Genomic DNA, 24,765 nt, shown 5'->3' with positions numbered 1-24,765 from the left:
GGCACTGAAGAAAATTAAATCCCTTCCTAAGAACTTGGAATTTGATGGCACTCCATCCTCCTACCAGTTTCCACTGCAAACCCACTATTGGGTAATTTTCAATCCTTTTGGGGAAGTTGAAGGGCTTCAAGGAGATCAGATTCCAGCCCCATGCTTCTTCACCCCAAGCACTTTCTTAAGAAGGAATAACTATGTACATGTTGTAGGGTGCCTAGTTTAGGGATGGCTCTCTGGTTTCAGCTAATTTCAAGCTTCCTAAGACCAGCTTGTTTCTTGAATATTTAATGAAGCCCACAGGCAAGTGGAAAAACAGAACAGAAAGGAGGTCAGGCCAGGATCTCTTTTCCCCCAGTTAGCATAGTTTGTTTTAACTGTGATAACCAAAAGATAAGTAAAACTAAAGTTTCCAGGTCCTTCTTGATTTTCCTTTCTTAGCTTCTTTGCCAAGAGAAACTGTTACCCTTAAGGATCTGTTCACTGCTGACCTCTCTCCTCTTCTTCACTTGGCATTGTTGGGACCAGGGACATAGTGTTAGGAACAGCGGGGCCAGAGGAAGGAAGAGAAATTCTATTGTAGTCAAACACTAATTTCTCAAGGGCTGCCTTATCCTGAACTCCATCACAGAAGAAAATTTTGTGGATGCTGAATTAACCCTTGATTTTCCTGATTTCTGTAGACTAGAACAGATGACTAAAGAGAACCAGGCAATTTTAATCCACTAGGTCAGAACTCACATGGGTAACTTATGCTCTCAATTTAGTCTACAGATGTGTTTTATTCTCCTGACATGGTCTTAAGAAACATTAAGACAATATTTTAAAATTTATATGTTTCACATAAAAATCCAAATTTTCTAAATAATCTTGAAATAGCAAGTATTTTTCTCTTGAAAAAGTCTGGCAATACTTGATCCATATTCCTACAACGTAACACTCACCAAGAGCTGGAATGTGACTGTTCCCCTTCCTGAAAAACTAGGCTCAGGGTCACTTGCTGTTTGTCATTATGCTTCAATGGTATTTTTCCTTAGAGCAGTGAAATATCACTCTCGATATCACTATCAAAAGGACCATAAAGAGGAGATTAAGAGGGCAAAATGATTTCTTATGCCTACCTGTCTTCACTTATATACATTACCTCCTGCCCCTATAGACTTCTGAGTTTATGAACCTTACATATAGATGGCAAAATGATACCTATTCATGGAGAAAACATGACAGTAGTCACAAAGATACTGATAATAATAGCTAACATTTAATTGATCATTTAGTGTTACTATGTGCTTTATATACAATGCATAATACTATTGTATTAGAACCTTTATTTTACAAATGAAGTAGAGTTTAGAAAACTTATTTAATTTCTCAAGGGTATGCAGCTCGTTAGTACTTAATTTAGGAGTCAAATGCAGGTGTCTTTGACATCCAAGGCCATACTTTCAATCAATATACACACTGGCTCCATAAGATATAAAATGTTCAACTTAATAAACCAGCGATTCGTGCTCTTCATAATCTTGTATTAATGATTCCTGAGACCCTTTTTAATAAGATCTCTACATAAGCGTTGAAACTAACAGTTATCCAAGACTCAGTGTAGAATAAAAAAATATATAAAACGTATATATTCAACAAGTTTCCAACATTAACTTTTTAGCATGATTATTTACTGGTTTAGTTAATTATTTTTACCATGATATATTTGATTAATTATCAACAACTTCAAGCTGAATTATAAATGGCTTTTTTTAGAGCTATCAGTGCTGGCCTATCACTTTATAACATGGCTACATTTCTTGGGCCAGGATCCGGGCACCCGGGAGAGTCATAGGTTTAAGCAGGGAATTGCATCATTGGCATTCCTAGGTATGAAAGGACATGGTAAGAGAGCACTTAACAAAACCTAGAGATCGAGAGAGCTGTGCAGAAAGACTCACTTAAAAGCACCATAAGCTTTGCTTAAGGGAAGCAGTCAGGCCATGGTGATGCTGCAGGGATGGACACAGAGAAAGGAACATCAGCACCACACTCTTTGGGCCTCCAATCTCTTACCAGCTCTTGACACAAGTCAAAGGGAAAGAGAACCCACTGATGTAACCTACACATGGTCAGCCCTTCCAAGGCACAGGGTGAGATGGAAAAGGGTGTAAGGTGCATCTTCAGTGGCAAATGGAAGATATTTGGCACACCTCTCTTACCTAAAATGACTAGGATTTCCAGATGGATAGATGTATTTTCCAATATAAATTCAGGCAAAACGTCAAGCAACCTTCACTTACCTGGGGAAAGCTCCAAAATAACGAAAAAAAACTCTCACGGAATTTTAATATGGGAAATTCATTCAAAGGTCTGATTTTATTCCTTATCTGAAGCATGAATAACTGCTAACAATACCTCAGAGTGATCTCATCCATCCTTAGTTTGAGCACCTAAAATGATGAAGAATCTTCTTAGTCTCAAATAACCCACACTTCCTTGAGTTGCAAGTGATAGAAGTACAACTCATTGAAATTCAAACATTGACATAACTGGTGATACCAAGTGTGCATTCATGCGAAGCTGGATTCAGGGGCTCACACAATACCATCAGGGACAGTGCTTTTTGTTATTGGGTTCACTCTCCAACAGGCTCCTCTGGGATGTTGACAAGATGGTGGCTGACAGCTCCAATTTTTTACGCTTCCCACTTCAGATACAAAGCTTCAGCAAAATCCAGAACTTGAATCTCACTGGACTGACAATTATTATGTTTCAATTCCTGAGCCACTAACAGTGTCAAGGGGATAAAATAATGAGTTAGTCAGGCCTTAGTAAAGTGCCCAAACTGGAAATAGTTTATCTCACTCAGAGCACCTGAATTTAGAGTGGGAGACAACTGGTCTCAAACATAAATCAGGATTCTATTGTTCCCAACGGAGGAGAAATGGGTACTGGACAGGAAAAAAAGATGTCCACTACATTCTCATTATTAAAAATTATTCAAAAATCTGCTTCTTGGTCCTAGCTCTGCCTTATGGAGTCATCAGGAGATTATCTATTCCCTCTTCTGTGTAAATCCCTTCAAATATCTGAAAATATCTCTTACACTTCCATATCACACCAAGTCAAAACACTACATCAGCTTTTATCTACTGTTCATGGCACATCTAGACCTCATGTCATCCTGAACACTCTCCTCTGTATTCTTCACAGTTTATCAATGATTCTCTTAAGGAACACTGCCCAGAGAAGGACACCAAATTGTTAACTCAGAAAAATAATAAAAGTTTACATTTACTGAACGCTTTCTATTTGCTAATCATTGGTTCCAATAATGTTATATATTTTAACATAATCTTAGTATCAGTCTTCTGGATTAGTTACTATTATTCTTGCTATTTTATAAGGTATGGAGAAGTTAAGCAACTTGACCAAGATTATTCAGCTGAGAAATGGAATACTATACATTCCGATGAACAATTTTGCCTCCCAAGTTTGTACTATGATCCACTATAGGAATCAAAAGGCACAGCAAAGTTAGGTAAACCCTTTAGGAAAAATTTTCATACTAGAAAGAAAGGAAATGAAAATTCTTCTAATATTAGAGATCATCTTTAACGGTCACATTATCTTTTTTAAAAAATAATAGCCAAAATTAGTTGGTGAGAAATGCAAACTTTTTTATGCTGCCGATGGAACTTGTATAACACTTCTGCAAAACAATTTGGGATCATGTAACTAGAGTCTCAGAAACATATATTCTTTCAAAACATATAGTTTATGGATGTATTCAAATCCATAACTAAAAGAATGTATAGGCCGGGCACAGTGGCTCCCACCTATAATCCTAGCACTTTGGGAGGCCGAGGCAGGCGGATCACAAGGTCAGGAGTTCAAGATCAGCCTGGTCAATATGGTAAAACCCTGTCTCTACTAAAAATACAAAAATTAGCCCGGCATGATGGCAGGTGTCTGTAGTCCCAGCTACTCAGGAGGCTAAGGCAAGAGAATCGCTTGAACCCGGGAGGCGGAGGTTGCAGTGAGCTGAGATCATACCACTGCACTCCAGCCAGGGCGACAGAGCGAGACTCCATCTCAAGAAAAAAAAAATGTATAATGCTATGAATAATAAACATCAGAAACAATCTAAATAAAAATTGAGCTTTTGGGGATTCGTTAAATAAAATTTTAAGATATCCCCAATGGAACACCAAGCAACTATTAAAAAAAATACTGATCTACGTGGTTAATAATACACAAATATGTTTATTTTATGTTATTCTATTTTATTGAATTAGCTTAAAAAAGTAAAAAGTAAATTGAGAGAAATGAAACTAGAATGAAAGAGGAGGAGCTAAGGAGCTAATTGTCTTTCATACAAATTTTCATTACTTTATGTAGTGACTTCCTTTTGCAATTACTTTATGCAGTGACTTTATGTAGTGACTTCCTTTCACAATTGAATTGACAGAAATTCAATCCCTACGGATATTTCTAGGAGCCTATCTATTACAGAGTGTGGGAATATCTGAATGAAGTGAGAGCCATGCCTGCATCCCACCTTAGCAATGACCATTATTTATCAGATTGTGTTATGCCAAGGAGCATTCATTTTCTGCGTCACTTCACCAGTTATACAGAGAAAATCTCTGTTAGGTCTTTACATGCCACATTTCGGCAGAGTTTTAAACTTCCTGATCTCCAGTTCTTTTAGAAAAAGACCTATGGAGGCATAAAGGAAATTATCTGAATCTCTGCTCCTGGGAAATATGCCTTTTATTCTCTCTAAATTTAATTGAAAAATAAAGTCTCCACCCTATATAAAGACTTTTTCCCTCTGCTTTGTACTACTCAAGCCCTACAACTTGAGGCATGGTGTTTTTGTGTACAAAATAACACTATGTTCATTGCAGAAGGTATTAAAAATAAGGACAAACTTTTAAAAAATGAAAGAAAATTATTCACAATCCTTACCATTAGTGCCACTTTTAATATGGAGATATACACCTTTGTTTTTACATAAATGAAATAGCATTCTGCATCCTGTGCTATATCCCTTTTATACTTACTGAAATCGCATAAATATTCGTATCTATATTTACTACATGTTTTAAAGAAGGATAATTACCAAATATATGTGAGTATATTGTTTAAAAAACTTTCTCAGGTGAAGAAGAAACCAAAATGCTTTTGATACCTTAGTATGTGCTCATATTATAGTTGACACAAAATGCAATCAAGGAGGAGGGCTGTAGAGGACAAGAAGGAATCTAATCTATGTATTATTATTATCCCTAATTATTGTGGGTACATAGCAGGTACATGTATTTATGGGGTACATGAGATGTTTTGACACAAGCATGCAATGTGAAATAAGCACATCATGGAGAAGGGGTATCTATCCCCTCAAGCATTTATCCTTTGAGTGACGAACAATCCAATTATACACTTTAAGTTATTTTAAAATGTAACATTAAGTTATTATTGACTATGGTCACTCTATTGTGCAATCAAATAGTAGGTCTTATTCATTCTTTTTAAATATTTTTTTGTGCTTATTAACCATCCTCACCTCACCATCCCCAACCCCCCACTACCCTTCCCAGCCTCTGGTAACCATCCTTCTACTCTCCATTCATGAGTTCAATTTTTTTGATTTGTAGATCCACAAATAAGTGAACATATGTGATGTTTGTGTTTCTGTGCCTGGCTTATTTCACTTAACATAATGATCTTCAGTTCCATCTATGTTGCTGCAAATGATAGAATCTCATATTTTTTTATGGCAGAATAGCACTCCATTGTGTATATGTACCACATTTTCTTTATCCATTCATCTGTTGATGGACACTTAGGTTGCTTCTAAATCTTAGCTATTGAAAACAGCGCTGTGTTTATTCCCCACTTCCCACATGAGGAGTTTCAGACTCTGAAAGGTTATGTGACTTGCCCAAGGTTATTTTATTATAAAATTTGGAGCAGGGAAAGAACTTGCTTGTGTTTGACTCCAATCATATTACTATAATATGGGAGAACAAGGCTATAAACAAAGTTGGGCCTTACTCCCACATCTTCATGCTATTTCACTTTCTACTGCCTCCAGAAAATTCCTTACAAAGTTCATTTTTTTGGACAGTTATCTATTGAATGCCTATGACTTTCCAGGTACTGGGTTAAGAATTGTACATGTAAAACTTAACAAGCCAGAAAAGGTCCCTTCTTGGATGAATTATATATGCTAGAGGGGGAACACTAGGAAACGGGCAAGTAAACACATAAACCACAATAAACATATAAACAAACAGGCCCTTCCACCCCTGTTTTCCCTTAGGAAAAAAAGTCCATACTTTGGGCTTTCCTAGAAGGGGTCTCTGAGTCAAAAAGCTATGTCCCGGAACTGTTAGATATCAGGGCTGTTCAGCCACTAGGGCTCTCATTGTGAGAGATCATTTATTTTTCTCTTTTTGATGTCTAGAACTCAGTACTGGTTGATAGTGTCCACTTGCAGAGGAGTTCAGATCATAGTAGGTTTTCCTTCCAAATCAGTGATCATGGGACCTTGGGATCAAGAAATACAAAAACACCATAGCCCATATTGTCAAAGTGTATTGCACACTGCTCAAGAGGACTAATTCTGCAGCCAGACTGCTTGGGTTCAAAACCTTCAAAGTTCCCAGCTGAGAACTCAGGCAAGCTATTAAACTACTCTAGCTTTGATGCTTTCCATTTGTAAAATGGAAATTACAATAACACTTATTTCATAGATATTGTGAGTGTTAAATGAGCTAAAATGTAGAGAGGACCTTGAACAGTGTTAGGTACATAATAAATACTTTTTAAGTGCTATTGCCATAGCATTATGATATGATACTATAACAGTGGAGGCACATCTCAACATTATGAGCATCGGAGTGGTGCACATCTTGTCACGCATCTGAGCCTTACTTACTACTTATTGCCTATGTAACATCAAACACATTATTTAATTCTCTAAATTTCTTTTTCTTTTCTTTTTTTGGCATCCTTTAGACAGATTTCAATAGTGCCTACTTCTGGAGACTGTTTTGAAAATTAAATAATATAAAAAAAGGACTAAGAATTCTGCACAGCACATGGTAATATCCTACTAAATGTTAACTCTGATTAAATTTGCAGTCACAGAGCACATTAGAACATTTCCTTCCTGCCCACTGTTCCACCATGCTCCAACTTTATCCCTTCAAGTGCCCCTGGTCTCTAATTCACTTTAGCCCCACATTGTCAAGAGAAAAAATATCTCGCTTTCTATCAGATGAAATACTTACTGTAAATAAGCTAAATCAGGAAGTTAAGATGGTGGAATAGTAAGTGTGTGTGCGTGTGTGTGTGCATGTGTGTGTGTGTGTGTGCACAAATGCATGTGTATGTGTGCATATGTTAAGGAAATGAATATTATAGCCTGAGAGTACATCTCCCTGCTTGTAGATTCCCTGTGAACCTTCTTTAAATTGTTCTCTCTGTTGCCACACCATTTTTTAATTTCCCTGGGTATATTACAGTATAAAAATTTTTTTCTCTTGTGATACTCTGGCACTATTATGTAAAAGGAGAAAAGAAATGAGTTCTGACATAAGATTCACTATAGTAGCTTTCTGGAGTCCCTGTAACATTGTGTTATGCTAAACCTGTGGGTCAAGTTCTCTTTGATTTTAAGTCAGGACTGCTGCTTGTTTTGTTGTTTTATTATGCCAAGACTACATTTTCCTGTAGAGTGTCAAGCAGAGACTCATATAATTGAGCAAATTCTACCTCTTGTTTTGATCTTAATAATAATAATTAGTAATTTTCACATTCAGGCTCTGATTACTAAGTACAATACAATCCATATAATAGAAAACTATTTTACATGGAGGCATTAGAAGCACTTCCTCATATGATATTTCTCCTCGTTACAAAATTTGTCTGTACAATAAATAAGGTTTACTAAGTGACTACTATGTGCACTGAACTGAGGATTCAATATTGAAAAAGATGGGTGAGTTTACACCTTATTGATTGTACATTCAAGTGGAGGATACAAGCAATTCATTAATACACACATAAATAGAAAAAATATTATCCAGAAAATGTAAAGTGATGGGGAATGAGCAGAGCTGATGACTGTGGGAGAGGGAGCCCAGGAAAGACCCCTCACTAGAGGTAATACCTAAGCCCAGACCTAAAGTCAAGAAAGAGACAATAAAATGAACTCTGCCGGGAAATGAGTCAAAAGAAAATAGCAAGAGCAACATTTTGAGGTAAGAATAAATTTAATATATTAAGGCACAGAGAAAAGGCCTGCGTGCCTGGTACATGGTTAATGATGAAAGGATAGGAGATCAGAGGTGCAGGCCAGTAGTCTCCTACTTGCTTACTGCATGGAAAGAACTCTGACCCATTGTGTCTTATTTTTCTCATTTGTTAACTTTTCAACAAATGAGTAAGTGAAAGGAAGAACAGGTACAATGCTAAAGGTGCACAATTGTCCTATAACTGCTATTTAAGCTATGGAGTGTCATTTTCTATGTCTATATGATATAAGCATAGATCAATTCAGATTGGAGTCTTCACAATCTCACACTATGATCTTGAAAGGCAGGATATGAGAAACCAACTTGTTGATGAGGTTCTTCTCAGCATTAGCTTCCTCATCTGCAAAATGGGGCTGATAATAATAGCATATCAGTATAAGCACATAATATCCACAGCATCAAGCTGCAGCATGGTGATAAACACATTGAAACCTGCATTTCTGAGATACTGTGGCATTAATCTTCATTTTGGTTTACGCATTTAAACAGCAGCTGGGAAAACTGCCTTCTTAGAAACCCAATGTTGTGCTCACAGGGATGAATGACTCCACAATTCATTTTCAAGGCATAAATCATTTTCCCTTTACCTTTTTTATGCTTCATAATGATGCTAATGGCTGAAAGGTCACCAATTTCCTGGCTGTTTATATTCAGCAGGGTTAATTTTTTCAACTGGTCAGAAAATGTCAAGTCCATCAGTAGCATTATTCACTTCATTAGCTAATGTAGTATAATTTAATGTTTGGGGGATCAAAGAAAAGACACATTTGAAGAATATCGTGGAATAAGACTGAGAATATTATTCAAAAGAGAAATTCTCTACTTAAATTACCATAATCACTACAGCTGATGATCTTTTCTCAGAAAATGACCCTATATGTCTACATGTCAAATGACTGTATTTATCATTTTCCAAATAGCCCTGAGCCATGCTTTAAAAGAAAAAAACTTTAGTACCTTTATATAATCATTCTAATGAAAAATATTTATTAAGCCCTTAATGCATGCAATGCTCAGCTGGGCATTTAAAAAATTATCTTACAGAACACTCATGACATTCCCATGAGAAGAAACTATTGTTCCTGTTGTACAAATGAGAAAAATGAATGTCTCAGAAAGTCTAGGGGGAGGGCTCCATGGCTCTGAGGGTACGCTGGTTGAGCCTTTATGGTGGGCATATGGGCACTTGCCTTGCCTGACTCTTGGTTATGGCTTGGAATTAAGTGAAGTGGTGTTTTAAGGCGTAAATGGTAGTAAAAGAGCATGCTATCGCTTTCAGCTTTGTGCACAGCTCTGTACCGGCTTTGCCCTCAGCCTTCCTCTCTTCACTAGAATCTACTTTACTGGAACATTAACCATTGAGATAAGAAAGACATCATTGCCCTGGGATCTCTGTACCAAGATCCCTCGTGTTCTAGCTCATGGTGACCTCTGGGAATGCACTTCCTGATGCCTACCTCTTCCTCCACCTTGCTGCAGCCACCCTAGCCTCTGTCCTCAGCATGTATGACAGTGCTAGCACATAGTAGATTGTCAATAAAAACATGTTAAATGCAATATTAAATCCTACAGTGAGAAAAGGTAACATGTGAAGGTGTTTGTAATCCTCTCATTAAAACACAGTTTTCAGAACTTTATTTTTATTCCTATTTGAACCTTACCTCCAGGGCATATAAATAAAAATAAACACAAAACATGGTACAGAATTTGCTCAGTTATTGAAGTAGGGATTGTCATCTGACACTCTAAAGGGGCTTATTCTTGTCATAATGTAACAGCAAAGAAAGTGATAGTACTGACTTAGAATCAATAGGAAATAAACCTGCAGGTGGGAAATCCTCTAATTTAGCACAATACAAACTTACAGCTGCCCCAAGAAAAGTCAATGATTTCTTTACTACTTTTACAAAATATTTTCAGAATATCATAACAGAGAAAATCATCCTGATGTCCTAATTCCCAGGAGAAAAAGTAAGCAAAAATAAAATGATAATGGTGTTAGAGAATAGTATCATTTTAACAATTATTTAAGTAGATTAGGTGAGTACTCTAGCAATGTTTGTCCTAGTTTTTCACTAATTATTTTCTTTTCCTGTTGATAAAATACCAAGCCATAAGCTGTTGAAAAATAATGTTATTGTGTTTTTTAATCAGTGTTATTTACAGCTCAGTAAATCTAATAACCCAGAGCTGATGCTGAAATATTTGTCGCAAAAATGGTGAATTCCATGCTTTTGTATTCCCATGCTGTGAACTGGGAAGACCACTCCTAAACGCCCAGAGATGACAAATCTCATAGGATGGGATGGACGCCCAAGTGACCATGCGTATGCAAGGGGATGTGGAGTGAGAAACTCTGCCCAATTTACAATTTTGTCAAGAGTTGGCTCTTGGAAAATGGATGACAAAAATAAACATATTTGTTGTTAGACCTAAGAATAATCCACATTAAAAATAGTCCTCATTAAAAATAAAAGCAGATCGTCAAAAAGAAAGAAAAAAAAACATTGAGGGAGGGAAGAAGGAAGGAAAGAAGGAAGGAAGGAAGGGAAGAAGGCAAGCAAACCCTGATATCCTGATGATCTGGTGGCCTGAGCATGGTACTGAGAGTCCAGAACACTCATATTCTAGATGGCTCTACCACCTACCGAGTGTGAGGCTTAGGATCACAGCTTAAACTCTCTGAGCTTCAGCTTTCTACTCCATAAGATGGAAGGATTGCAATTTCTATCTCAGAAACACCTTTAGTGATAAACAAAACAAGGACTCTTTAGCAAGAAAGTGCTTTGTAGATTAAAATGCCAAACAACTGATCTATGAAGACTGATGTGTGAAGCAATTTCTATAGCAGTTATGAGTGACTGGAATCCATCCATTTTTGTTGAAATTCCAGCTAGTGAGCTGAATGACTTTGAACAAGTGATTCTTGCTTTCAGAACTTTAGTTTCCTTATCTTTAAAATGGGAATAGTAACAGTATTTCTTTGCGCTTTTTTTTTTTTTTTTTTGAGATGGAGTATCACTCTGTCACCCAGGCTGGAGTGCAGTGGCACGATCTCGGCTCACTGCAACCTCCACCTCCCAGGTTTAAGCGATTCTCCTGCCTCAGTCTCCCCAGTAGCTGGGACTACAGATGCATGCCCCCACGCCTGGGTAAAATTTTTTTTGTATTTTTAGTAGAGATGGGGTTTCATCATGTTGCAGGATGGTCTCGATCTCCTGACCTTGTGATCCGCCCGTCTCGACCTCCCAAAGTGCTGGGATTACAAGCATGAGCCACCGAGCCTAGACTTTGTGCTATTTATTTTCTCTTTGCTCCATCACAATCCCTCTCCTTTTGTGCCCATCCCGCTCTTTATCCTGGGAGATGAGCTCTGTGGAGTGGATCAATAGGCTGCCTGGTCATATGACTTTCAGTTGGATGTGGCCCATGGGAAGCACGGAAGAACAGGAATGTGGGAAAGAGTGAGGTAAACACTGATTCTCCTGGATCCCTTCCTATCAGATCTCACTAGTTTGCCTGCCACTCTCCACCTAAACCAAAGCTCCAGTTAAATGGTCCTCTCTCACAGCCACAGCTATTCTCTCCAGATTCTGTAGCAACTTCCTGTCCTGGTCCCTTCAGGTCTAGAGGCAGTAACGACTAACTTGCTAGTTTATTCACCCACTCTGTTACCTTCTCTAACTGTGATCACAATTGTGTAAACAGTAATTCCTTCATTCAAATCTTTTTCATTACTCTATATGAATATCTCATTTGTTTTCTCACTTGACCACAGCTGATATGAAAGGAAGGCTTGAGGAAACAAATCCTTACAATAGAATTCTGAGAGTAGGCCCTTCACATATTTGAGGACACAGATACTGTCCTTGTAGGAGGTAAGTGGAAAGAGAGTATTCCATGAGCTATGATGGTATTATAATTACACAAGTTATCACTGAAGATGTCCTGGGATGAAGTGCAAATGAAAAGCACAGTATCAGGAGATCAAGTGATTTTGGCACGTGGTTTCTATGGTGACAGTATTGATCAGAATGTGTTGGGGTTAGTTAGCTCTTTCTGACAGCCCTGGAGAGCTGATAGACCCCAGAGAAAGCACAAATTGGAGTTTTTAACCTCACGGCTCATAACTCAAGTGGAAAATCAGAAAGCCTTGATGATAACTTTGTAGGAACCCTTTGCAGTAGTCTCATAGTCATGCACAGGGCTCATATATCTGCAATGGAGCCCAGGGTCTGAAAGTAAGTGATGCTGAGTTGAGAACCAATTAAATGTTCAACCTCATCACATCGTTTATACAATGACAGTGATGGAGAAGGAGTGGTAAGGGATACACTGGAAGGCTACATTTAGGCAGAACACAGATGGGGCTGAGAACTTTGCATTCCTAAAGCTTCCTAACAGAGACAGGTATTCTAAATACAAAATCAATAAGGTAAATCCTACCATAGTCAAAACAGAGAATCATAAGGCCTGATCTAAAAGGAAATAGTATATAGGCCAAAACAGCTTCAGGACATTGCCAACTTATATCAGGAGGAGGGAGTTAGGGTAGCAGGTACAGGAGTGAACATTAAGGGTATTAGACTAACAATGCCAAAATATAAAACTGTCTATGAGCCAAATTTATTGATGGGGCTCACTAACTAATTTATTGACAGGGGAATATAATTAATCATCTGTTTGGTTGATTCCTTAAACTTGGATTCAGTAATATCCTAAAGCCAATGAGGTTAAAATGTCAGAACTTCCCTGGCACCATTACTTGGGAAGGAGTCAGAAGATACAGAGAGATGGGAATAGTAGAATAGACCTGTTCAGTCCTGTCTTAATCACCACAGCATCAAGAGATTCCAGAGAACACTCTCTTTACCAAAATCTTAAGAAATGCATCCATGAGGGGATATTGGCATCCTTTGAAAACAATATGTTGGCTGTCCTCCTAAGTTAGGCATAACTGTAAGTGTTATAAAGGGAGCTGTTTCATGTCTTGATGGGAAAATTTGATCCTAGAGTAGTAGGGCTACCTAGGACTTGGATGCTGAGACTGAAGCTTTTGTCTCACTCCACCAGGTACAGAATTTTACCCAGCCAAAGTGCTGGCAGATGGCAAGAGTGTAATGGGTGGTGAAATAGAGAAGTTACAATTATAAACCTAGACATCATGTCCAGAAACAGAAGCTGAAATTGCAACAGCTACATTTGTTTATAAATACATTCTCTCCTCCTGCCTCATGTAAAGAGTAGTAGTGGTAGGTGATTATTTGGGAAAACTTCCCAGTTGAGTGGCCCTCTGCTATATCTATGCCTATTCTCTCTAATTTCTAATAACTGCTCCTTTTTCAGACCCATGAGCCTAGTGTTGCTAATGGATCAATGTTGCTCTTCACCAACCCCTATTGATTTTTCTTAATAGTATCCATACCTTTGTAAATTGTCTCTTTTAGAAGACTTTTTTAAATTTGCCACATTTAGGCATGCTATCTGTTGCCTTATAGGACCTCAACTGCTATACTATCTCATTAGTTTGTTGTGAAGATCAGGTAATTAATAAAGTCTTTAGAGCAGTACCTAGCACGTGTAATTACTCAATAAATGTTAGCTATTGTTATCCTGGCTGCTGTTGATTATTATTGTCATATTTAAAGGAGTTAGATAATCTGGTAAAGAGATATCATGACACAGTGGAATGCTAATGAAATGTGTGGCAAAGAGAAAACATTCAATAAATTGTTTCTTTATTACAATATTAAATTCTTAGTGTTTAAAAAGGATCCACTAATAGTCATTGAAATGAGACTGTCTACCATAAAAACTTTATTTTACTTATTTTCTTCTTTTATAAGTGTTCATTTTCTCTAATTAGCCAATCAAAACAGAAGACTTTAAAAGGAATTTTTCATGCTTCAGTTCTCATGCTGATAATCCAGTCTCCCTTGGGCTGGCTGGCACAGGAAAATTTAGGTGGTCCACTGACAGTGTGTTTACTGATAAATTTTGACTTAGAAAGACATGCAAACTGCATGAAAAATAAAATATTTAAAATTCCCAAGCATGTGTAGATATCACACCATAAAAATTCATAGCAGCAATAACAATCATGCAAAATTGATGTGGCTTTTCCACACCATCACCTAAGAGCCATAACTTGGGTCACTATGGAAAAGAAATCAAACCAGACAGTTGAATAGAGACTTCTACTGTTGAGAGTGAGGAGGAAGACATGGAAAACATATTTCCAAAATGTGTTCAAATATTATGAACTAATTTGTGAGTGGGATCGATAAAGGAATATTCCCTTTACAATGCTAAGCCCAGCAGCCATCATCAAAGGACCCTCCCTAAATAGGTAATCCTTCTCATGGTCTGATTTAGTTCTTGATACTAAATATGCAACCTAAAGAGGAATAACAATTTCAGATAGATTAAATGATACAATGTAATTCTGCAGAATTTTTAAATTTTGCTCAAGAAAGGACCTAAGAACCCTGACATTTGAGATCCCCCAATATTAGATAAGGTGACTGATATGTTTTTGCTGTATCCCCCACCCAAATCTCACCTTGAATCATAGTAATTCCCATGTGTCAAAGGCAAAGACAGGTGGAGACAATTGAATCATAGGGGCAGTTTCCTTCATACTGTTCTCATGGTAGTGAATAAGTCTCATGAGATCTGATGGTTTTTATAAGTGGGTGTTCCCCTGCACCAGCTCTTTTGCCTGCCACCATGTAGGACATCTCTTTGCTCTTCCCTCATCTTCCACCAAGATTGTGAGGCCTCCCCAGCCATGTGGGACAGTGAGTCCATTAAACCTCTTTTCTTTAGAAATCACCCAGTCTTGGGTATGTCTTTATTAGCAGCATGAGAACAGACTAAAACAGTAAATTGGTAACAGGTTGTGGGGCACTGTGGTAAAGATACCCAAAAATGTGGAAGTGACTTTAAAATTGGGTAATAGGCAGAGGTCAGAACAGTCTGGAGGGCTCGGAAGAGGACAGGAGCATGTGGGAAAGTTTGGAACTTGCTAGAGATTTGTTGAATGGCTTTGACCAAATGCTGCTCCTCTCAGATGGAGATAAGGAACTTGTTGGGAACTGGAATAAAGGTCAATCTTGCCATGGTTTAGCAAAGAGACTGGTGGCATTTTGTCCATGCCCTAGAAATTTGTGGAACTCTGAACTTGAGAGAAATGATTTAGGGCATCTGGCACAAGAAATTTTTAAGCAGCAAAGCATTCAAGAGGTGACTTGGGTGTTGTTGAAAGCATTCAGCTTTATGTATTCACAAAGATATGGTTTGGAATTGAAACTTATGTATAAAAGGGAAGCAGAGCATAAAAGTTCAAAAAATTTGCAGCCTGACAATGTGATAGAAAAGAAAAACTCATTTTTTTGAGAAATTCAAGCTGGCTGCGGAAATTTGCATAAGTAACAACGAGCCAAATGTTAATTGCCAAGACAATGGGCAAAATGTCTCCAGGGCATGTCAGAGACCTTCATGGCAGCCCTTCCTATCACAGGGCTGGAGGCCTAGGAGGGAAGAATGGTTTCTCCGGCCAGGCTTAAGCCCCCCTACTCTATGCAGCCTCCAAACATGGTGCCCTGCATCCCAACTGTTTTAGCTCCAGCTGTGGCTACAATGAGCCAATGTACAGCTCAAGCCATTTATTCAGAGGGTGCAAGCCCCAAGTCTTGGTGGCTTACACATGATATTGGTCCTGTGGGTGCAGAGAAGTCAAGAGTTGAGGTTTGGGAACCTCCACTTAGATTTCAGAAAATGTATGGAAATGCCTGGATGTCCAGGTAGAAGCTTGCTGGAGGGGTGGGCCCCTCATGGAGAACCTCTGCTAGGGCAATGTGAAAGGGAAATGTGGGGTGAAAGGGAAAGGTAGGGCACTGCCTAGTGGAGCTATGAGAAGAGGGCCACCATCCTTCAGACCCCAGAATGGTAGATCCACTGACAGCTTTCACCATGTGCCTGGAAAAGCTGCAGACACTCAATGCAAGCCCATGAAAGCAGCCAGGAGGGGGCCTATACCCTGCAAATCCACAGAGGCAGAGCTGCCCAAGGTTGTGGGAGCCCACCTCTTGTATCAGTGTGACCTGGATATGAGACATGGAGTCAAAGGAGGTCATTTTGGAACTTTAAGCTTTAATGACTGCCCTATTGGATTGTAGACTTGCATGGGGCCTTATAGCCCCTTTGTTTCGGTCAATTTCTCCCATTTGGAATGGGTTCATTTATCCATTGCCTGTAGCCACATTGTGTCCAGAAAGTAACTAACTTGCTTTTGATTTTACAGGCTTATAGGTGGAATGGACTTGACTTGTCTAAGATAAGACTTTGGACTGTGGACTTTTGAGTTAATGCTGAAATGAGTTAAGACTTTGATGGGCTGTTGGGGAGGCATGACTGGTTTTGAAACGTGAGAACATGAGATTTGGGAGGAGCCAGGAGTGGAATGATATGGCTTGGCTGTGCTCCCACACAAATCTCACCTTGAATTTTAATATTCCCCATGTGTCAAAGGCAGGTGGAGATAATTTAATCATGGGGGCAGTTTCACCCATACTGTTCTCATGATAGTGAATAAGTTTCATGAGATCTGATGATTTTAGAAATGGGTGTTCCCCTGCACGAGCACTCTTGCCTGCCAACATGATCTTCCTTTACCTTCTGCCTTGATGTGATGCCTCCCAAGCCATGTGGAATTGTGAGTTCATTCAACCTCTTTCCTTTATAAATTACCAAGTCTTGGGTATGTCTTCATTAGCAGCATGAAAACAGACTAATACCATGACCAACCCAAATTTGGGGCGTAGAGTTTTATTAGTAATCTAGGGCCAAATAATGTCCCTTCCTAATTGCCCTAGGACCTTTGTGAGCAAATTTCCTCTGATTCCAAGAAGCAATCAGAGATAATTTTATTCTACCCTGGATTCTAAATCTGAAAAATAGATTGATCACTTTTTCAGCTAATATTCAAGATTGGGGAAAATTTTTTCTTTCCTGACCTCTATCATCCTGGAGGACTCTGTCTCTGGGTACCACTGCCTCTGTCTATCCACACAAGTCAAGAGACTCAGAACATTTGGCCTATTTCTGAAGTAGTGTTCCCGGTAAGGTCTTTCAGAATGGAGCCCAAACATGTGAAACATATGGAACATATCTGGAGATACATGGCCTTTTAGCTAACCCATGACAAGTCAGGTGTGCCAAAACTTAAAAAGAATGGCTTCTTTGCTAGACAGAAAATGCAAAATAAACAAACAAAACACTTGGAGTCCCAGAACTAAACCTTCCAAGGTTATAAATGAATATAAGGACTATCCAGGGAATTCATCCCAGTTGCTGAAAGGCCCAGAACTTTAAAATCATGACTGAGTCTTTTAAAAGAGTTTTGAAAAAATCCTTAAGGCAAGTACAACATAAAATGCTTCTTTTACATTTTTCTGTAGTATTCAAAAAGTTTTAAAAACCTACGGCCTGAGTCCCATTCGAAGTCAGAAGAGGAGGGAAATAAGTCATTTACATGAAAAGAAAGATGGGACCCTTTTAGGGCAGATAAAATGTTTATTTTCTTGGCCTTTGTGTCTATTACCAGAGCCAGGCACTGTGCTTGACATATGGTAGGCATTCAGTACATGTTGCTTAAATGAATACATGAAGAGGAGAGACAAAGGTAAGCTGAAGATTTTTGGAAGACAATCTGCACCTACATTATTTATCATTTCCCAATCAGCTAAGTTTGAAGCCATCATGAGGCCTTCCTCTAGAAGACAATTGCTTTTCCAGAATATTTTCTTACTATGCTTATAACTCAAATGGAAACAAAAAGCAGGCATACAAGATCATTATCTTTCAAAATTTGACCTAAAACGACTATGTTCCATAGCATCCTCTCCAGGATTTCATCCAGGAAGTGGTTTTATTGTCTAATATACTATTATCCATAAAATTATTTACTTACTCAATAAGACATATTTATTGAGTGTTCTAATTTTATTCCTTTGTATATTCAAATAAGTTTCTCCCATCCTCTTTCCTATTTTCTTTCCTCCTTTCTGTCCTTTCTTTTTTCACCAATATCAGTCAGGTCAACTCATTTCTTTCCCTTCTCTATTTCTATATTTGTGGTGAAACATGTCCTATCTTTTCTGATTCTTTGATTTAAATGTTATCATGTTTCTTTGATGTAACAATTTAATTACCCTTTCTAGAAAAAAACCATATCTAATTTTAATTTCCCCCTTTCCTCATAATTCAATAATTGTACATTTGGTAGCTTAATCAGTTAATTGTGCATGTGCAAAATATGCTTTAATATTTTAAAGACTCTGTTTTATTTAGTTGTTATCAAAAGGGATTAATGTTTGGGCTTAAAAGATTTGTGGGTAGATTATTTTATAGCTTCCACATCCTTTAATGGTATCAGGGGCCAATGTGACTTCTATTTTTAATAAAGGAAAAGCTTCTTATATACAGACTTTGGAAGCCTAAGAATTGAATGGAGGATATTTCTTAAAACTAAGACAATAAAACAAAACAAAACAAAAACAAACAAAAAACTGTGCTTTACTGATATAGAGGCTTGTGGTTATTATTGAATTGATTATCCAAAGCAGCCACCCCCTTTTTGAAAATGGTAGAAAGTGTATAGAAAATAGGACATATCTTAGCCAAGGTCCAAACTTGCTCAGGCCCTGATTTGTAAATTTATTAAAGTTTCATGATTGAACCCTGAGGACTAGAAGTTAATTGATATCTTTTTTTTTCTATCCACCATGGGCAATATAAAGCATCAGAAATTTTTTAATGAATCCTCCAGCATTAATCTTTTACCCTAGGGAAAGTTTCCTATAGGTAATGAGATTAAAGAGAACCACCAGCTACTTTACCCTTCCTTTGTTCAGTGCATTTAAAAGTGACTTCGAGTTGTGAGTATCAGGCACCTCTGAAGAAGAGCTGATGCCCTACTATGGCTATAAAAACTCTGCCCTTCCTTCCTTACCCTAGTTCATCTCTTGTTCTTGAAGGTGCTGAAGGGGATAATTGCTCAGTTGCTGAGGCTCTGCAAGTCCTCCAAACCACAATAAGGGAAACTTAATTTCCCCTAAAGCACAGTCCAGTTTAATAAACGTTGAACATCCTTGACGACAGCACCTGTCTTATTTTTCTTGGTGTCTCTCCTGACAGGTACAGTCCTTGCTCCACAGAGATAAAGTTTCAAAATTTCATCTTCTCCTCCCACATGATTCTTCTTCCTCTTCATCTTCACCTCCTAAATTTGTCTTTCTGTCACTTGCTTAGCCTAGTGAGTTTTGCTTGTTTGTTTGATAGTCGTGTATTTACAGCTTAACTTCTGACTTGCTAGTGGGATACTTACATCTGACTGTGCACTATGAGGGCCAGAAAATGCCTCAGTGTACAAGTAAAATTCAGTGAGCTAAGGGCAGGTAAGAAATAACTGCTACATTCATACTTTAAAACTTTTCAATGTCATATTACAAGAAACAAGTGCATGGTAGATGCTCAAAGTTAGCTATTCTTATTTGTCAATGAACTGATAAGGTAATAATGGAAGAATAATGTATGGTCACTTGTAAATGCAAATAAACGCCTACCCAAAAACATGACGTTGACGTCAAGGCTTTATCATACCACATACAGAGAGATATGAAAAAGCCTGTTACTTTCACAATTTTAAGAGCAGGCAGGCCTCGCCATCAGGTTCAAAGTATCTTGAGAGAGCAAGCAAAGGTGACTGGCTCAGAGTGAGTGTCCCATCAACATAGGAGGTGCTAACATAAAACTTAGCAGTAGTCCTCCATCTACGTCTGCAGGTGACCATAACAATAACACACAGGAATACAAAGTAGTGTCAAAGAATAACTTAAAATTCATAGTTTTGTCTGGGTGCAGTGGCTCACGCCTGTAAAGTCAGCACTTTGGGAGGCTGAGGTGGGAGGATCACCTGAGGTCAAGAGTTCAAGACCAGCCTGGCCAACTTGCTGAAATCTGGTCTCTACTAAAAATACAAAAAAAAAAAAAAAAAATTAGCTGGGCATGGTGGTGCACGCCTGTAATCCCAGTTACTTGGGAGGCTGAGGCAGGAGAATCATTTAAACCCAGGAGGCAGAAGTTGCAGTGAGCCAAGATCATGCCACTGCACTCCAGCCTGGGTGACAGGAGACTCTATCTTAAATTAAAAAATAAAAATAAAATAAATAAAATGCATAGTTGGGCAATAACTCTTGTAAGGATTTAAGGAAGTCAATATTCCCAATGAACTGAATTGTCAGGGCTATCAATAGGGCATAAATATTATGCATTTATTCCAAAAGCGTCTACTGAGTAAACTTTGTGCCAAGTGTTATGGGTAGAAAGTTAAATACGACACAGATTTCCTTCTGAAGGAATCTAAAGTCCAGTAATGGACTAAAAAAATACAAAATAATCATAATAGAATTACCCTGTATAATAAGCACTGTAATGATAGTATGAAGTTGGTATATGGAAGCCTAGGAGAGTGATTGATTAATTCTGTCATTTGTGGGTTGAAAAGATTTCTTTATCTACTAGAAGATGGGAAAGAAAGAGAGCAACTAATGAGAAAGTCCAGCTTAGCTACCAGACCATGGCACTAGCCCTGATTGGTCAAAACACCTATGATTAGTCCAGTGGTCACTCTGTCCACTTGGGCAACCCTTAGCCATTGACTCTTCCAGCTCTTAGGACAGAGTTAGGCCTATGAATAAGCAAAAGGAAAATAATAATCTTTCCTATCTCCAGCCAAAAAAAAAATATGTATGAACAACTCATCACCCTAATGAGAGCCAAATTTTTGCTTATGGAATAAGCATCATTTGGAAATATATTATTTAACATACCATGTACATTGAATGCCAGCTCTTAAAATACCTTAAACTAAGTCTCTAACATGTGTATGTTTGTCCCTATCCTCTACTGACTCAACCCAAGTGCTCTTTTTTTCTAAAGATGGTCAAAAGAATATTATTTTGCAAATACTCTAAAATGTTCCCATGCTTTTGATTTAAGCTATTTTAGATATAGACGTGGTTGCAGGTTACAAAGTCAAGATTCTGCTCACCAGCCAGCTCATAATCTTACTATATTATCCTGTATCATTAAACAATACAAAAAAGAAAGACTAAAACGACTCCCCCTCTCACACACACACACACACCATCAAAGTCAAAGAGAAAATAAAACATAGGCCACTTGCTCTGCCATCAATAAGCATATGAAATAAAATAATGAATAAAAATAGTCATAAAGAGACAAACATAATAGACACCTTAACCTAATACCATGAATCTGACAGTAATGTCTGTTAATTGAATACAGAAAGAAATCCAGTGAGTGACCAAGGCTAAGTCCTTTTGAGCATCCCATTATTTATAAGCAAAAGAGAAAAAGATCAAGGGAAAAAACTGTTAAATGAGCTGAAAGCTAATTGGTCTCAGTCAGTCAAGCCCTGCCTAGGGAAATGGCAGTTTCTTTGCCAACTATAATAAGAAAGGAGTTTCTGACTGCTTTTCCCCCGCTCTCTCCTTGCCTTTACCCAACACTACCTTCGGTTCAAACAATAAAAATCCATTTACAGACATATCATCCATTTACAGACAAATCCATTTACAGACAGATCAGTGGGCAAGGATGTTTGGTCCTTAGCTGGACCATCAAATGGCTGCATATCCTGCAGTGGCAGCTGAAGAATGGCATTAAAAATAGCAAAGTAGCAAAAGTGGCAAAACCAATTCAATAGAGGATTTCAATAAATGGTGCAGGAGCAATTGAACATCCATTCCAAAAAACAAAACAAAAAGAACTTTTACCTAAATATCACAACTTTTTATTAAAGTTAACTTGAAATAGATACTAAACTTAAATGTGAAACACAATACTATAGAAGTTCTAGAAAAAAGCATAGGTGAGAGTCTTCTGGAAAAAAGCATAGGAGAGAAGCTTCTAGATCTAAGTCTAGGTAAAGTGTTCTCACACTTGTCACCAAAAATACAATTCAAAAAAGAAAAATTGAACAGCATTGAAGTTAAAACCATTTGCTCTGTTAAAGATCTTGTTAAGAAAATACAAAGACAAATTTTAGACTGGGAGAAAACATTTGGAAATTACATACCCAGCATAGTTCTTTTATGTAGAATACATAAAGAACTCTCAAAACTCAACATTAAAAATTCCTAACAGCACTGTCTTAGTTCATTCAGGCTACTGCAACAAAACACCATACACCGGGTTGCTTATAAACAACAGAAAATTATTTCTCACAGTTCTGATGTCTCAGAAGTCTAAGATCAAAATGTTAGCGGATTTGGTATCTGATGAGAACCTGCTTCCTCTATAGATTAGCATTTTCTCACTGTAACCTCATGTGGCAGAAGAGGAAAACAAGCTACCTTGGGCCTCTTTTATAAGGACACTAATTCCATTCCTGTGTCTGCTCTCAATTTGATCACCTCCTATAGGCCATACCTCTTCACACTATCATGTTAGGGGTTAGAATTTCAACATATTAATTTTGAGGGGAGACAAACATTCAGATTGTAGCAGATGCTCAACATCGCTAATCATTAGAGAAGTGCAAATCAAAACCACAATGACATTTTACGTCATACCCATCAGGATGACCACTATCAGAAAAACAAAAAATAACCAGTGGTTGCAAGAATGCAAACAAGTTGAAATCCTTGCGTGCAGTTGGTAAGAATACAAAATGGTTCAGCCTTTATGGAAAACAGTACAGAGGTTTCTGGCTTAGTCTATTTTGTGCTACTGTAACAAAACATCACAGAAGGGGTTATGTATAAAGTAGAGAATTTTTTTCTCACACTTCTGGAGGCCAGGAAGTCCAAGATTGTGGCACCAGCAGGCTCAATTGTCTGGTGAGTGTTGCTCTCTGCTTCTAAGATAGCGCCCGCTAATGCATTCTTTCAGGAGACATGCTGTGTCCTCATGTGGCAGAAGGCAAAAGGGCAAGGAAGCCAATGCTGCAGAGGTTGTCTTTTTTATAGTGGTCTTAATTCCATTCATGAGGAGAGAAATGTTCATAACCTAATCATCTCTTAATACCATTACATTGGCCATTAATTTTTCAATGCCTGAATTTTGGAGGGGACACATTAATATCTTAGCAGTTTCTCAAAAAAATAAAAATAGAATTATCATATGATACAGCAATTCCACTTTTGCATATACATCCAAAAGAATTCAAAGAACTTTGAAGATATATTTACACATTCATGTTCATCATATGGTTGATTACTCATAACAGCCAAGAGGTGAAAGCAACCCAAATATTCACTGACAGTTGAATGGATAAAGAAAATGTGGTATTTACATGCAATGGCATATTATGTAGCCTTAAAAAGAAAGACATTCTGTCATGCACCACAACATTAGTTAACCTTGAAGACATTATCTTAGGCAAAGTAAGCCAGTTACAAAGGGACAAATACTGTATGATTCCACTTGTATAAAGTAGCTAAAGTAGTTAAAATCATAGGCTCAGAAAGCAGAAAGATGGCTATCAAGGTCTAGTGGAAGCAGGAGGCAGAATTAGTGTTCACTGTGTATAGAGTTTCAGCATTGCAAGATAAGTGTTTTAGAATCTGTTACACAATAGTGTCAATGTACTTAACACTACTGAACTATATATTTTAAAATGAGTAAGATGCAAATTTAATGTTACGTGTTTTTTAACACAACGAAAATATCCCATTAGAAAATGAGCAATCAAGAGGTTGAAAAAATAACCAACAGATTGGGAGAATATATTTTCAAAAGACATACCTGATAAGGAGTGTTATCCAAAATATACAAAGAATTCCTAAAACTCAACAGTAAAAAAAAGAAAAGAAAAAAAAAAAGTTCAAAGACTTTCACAGACACCTTACCAAAGAAGATATACAAATGGCAAGTAAGCATATGAAAAGGTGCTCCACATGTTGTCTCATTGGGGAAATACAAATTAAAACAACAATGAGATCATCAGAGAAATGCAAATCAAAACCACAATGAAATCCCATCTTGCACCAGTCAGAATGGCAAATATTGAAATGTCAGGAAACAATAGATGCCCGCGAGGCTGTAGATAATTAGGAACTCTTTTACACTGTTGATGGGAATGTAAATTAGTTCGACCATTGTGGAAGACAGTATGGTGATTCTTCAAGGATTTAGAACAAGAAATACCATTTGACCCAGCAATCCCATTACTGGGTATATACCCAAAGGATTATAAATCATTCTAGTGTAAAGACACATGCACACATATGCTTATTGCAGCACTATTTACAATAGCAAAGTCATGGGACCAACCCAAATGGTAATCAATCATAGACTGGATAAAGAAAATGTGGCACATACACACCATGGAATACTATGCAGCCATAAAAAGGGATGAGATCATGTC

The sequence above is a fragment of the Homo sapiens genome, chromosome 5 (genome assembly GCF_000001405.40).
Source record: "Homo sapiens chromosome 5, GRCh38.p14 Primary Assembly".
NCBI lineage: Eukaryota > Metazoa > Chordata > Mammalia > Primates > Hominidae > Homo > Homo sapiens.
Note: the sequence above shows the minus strand (reverse complement) of the source record.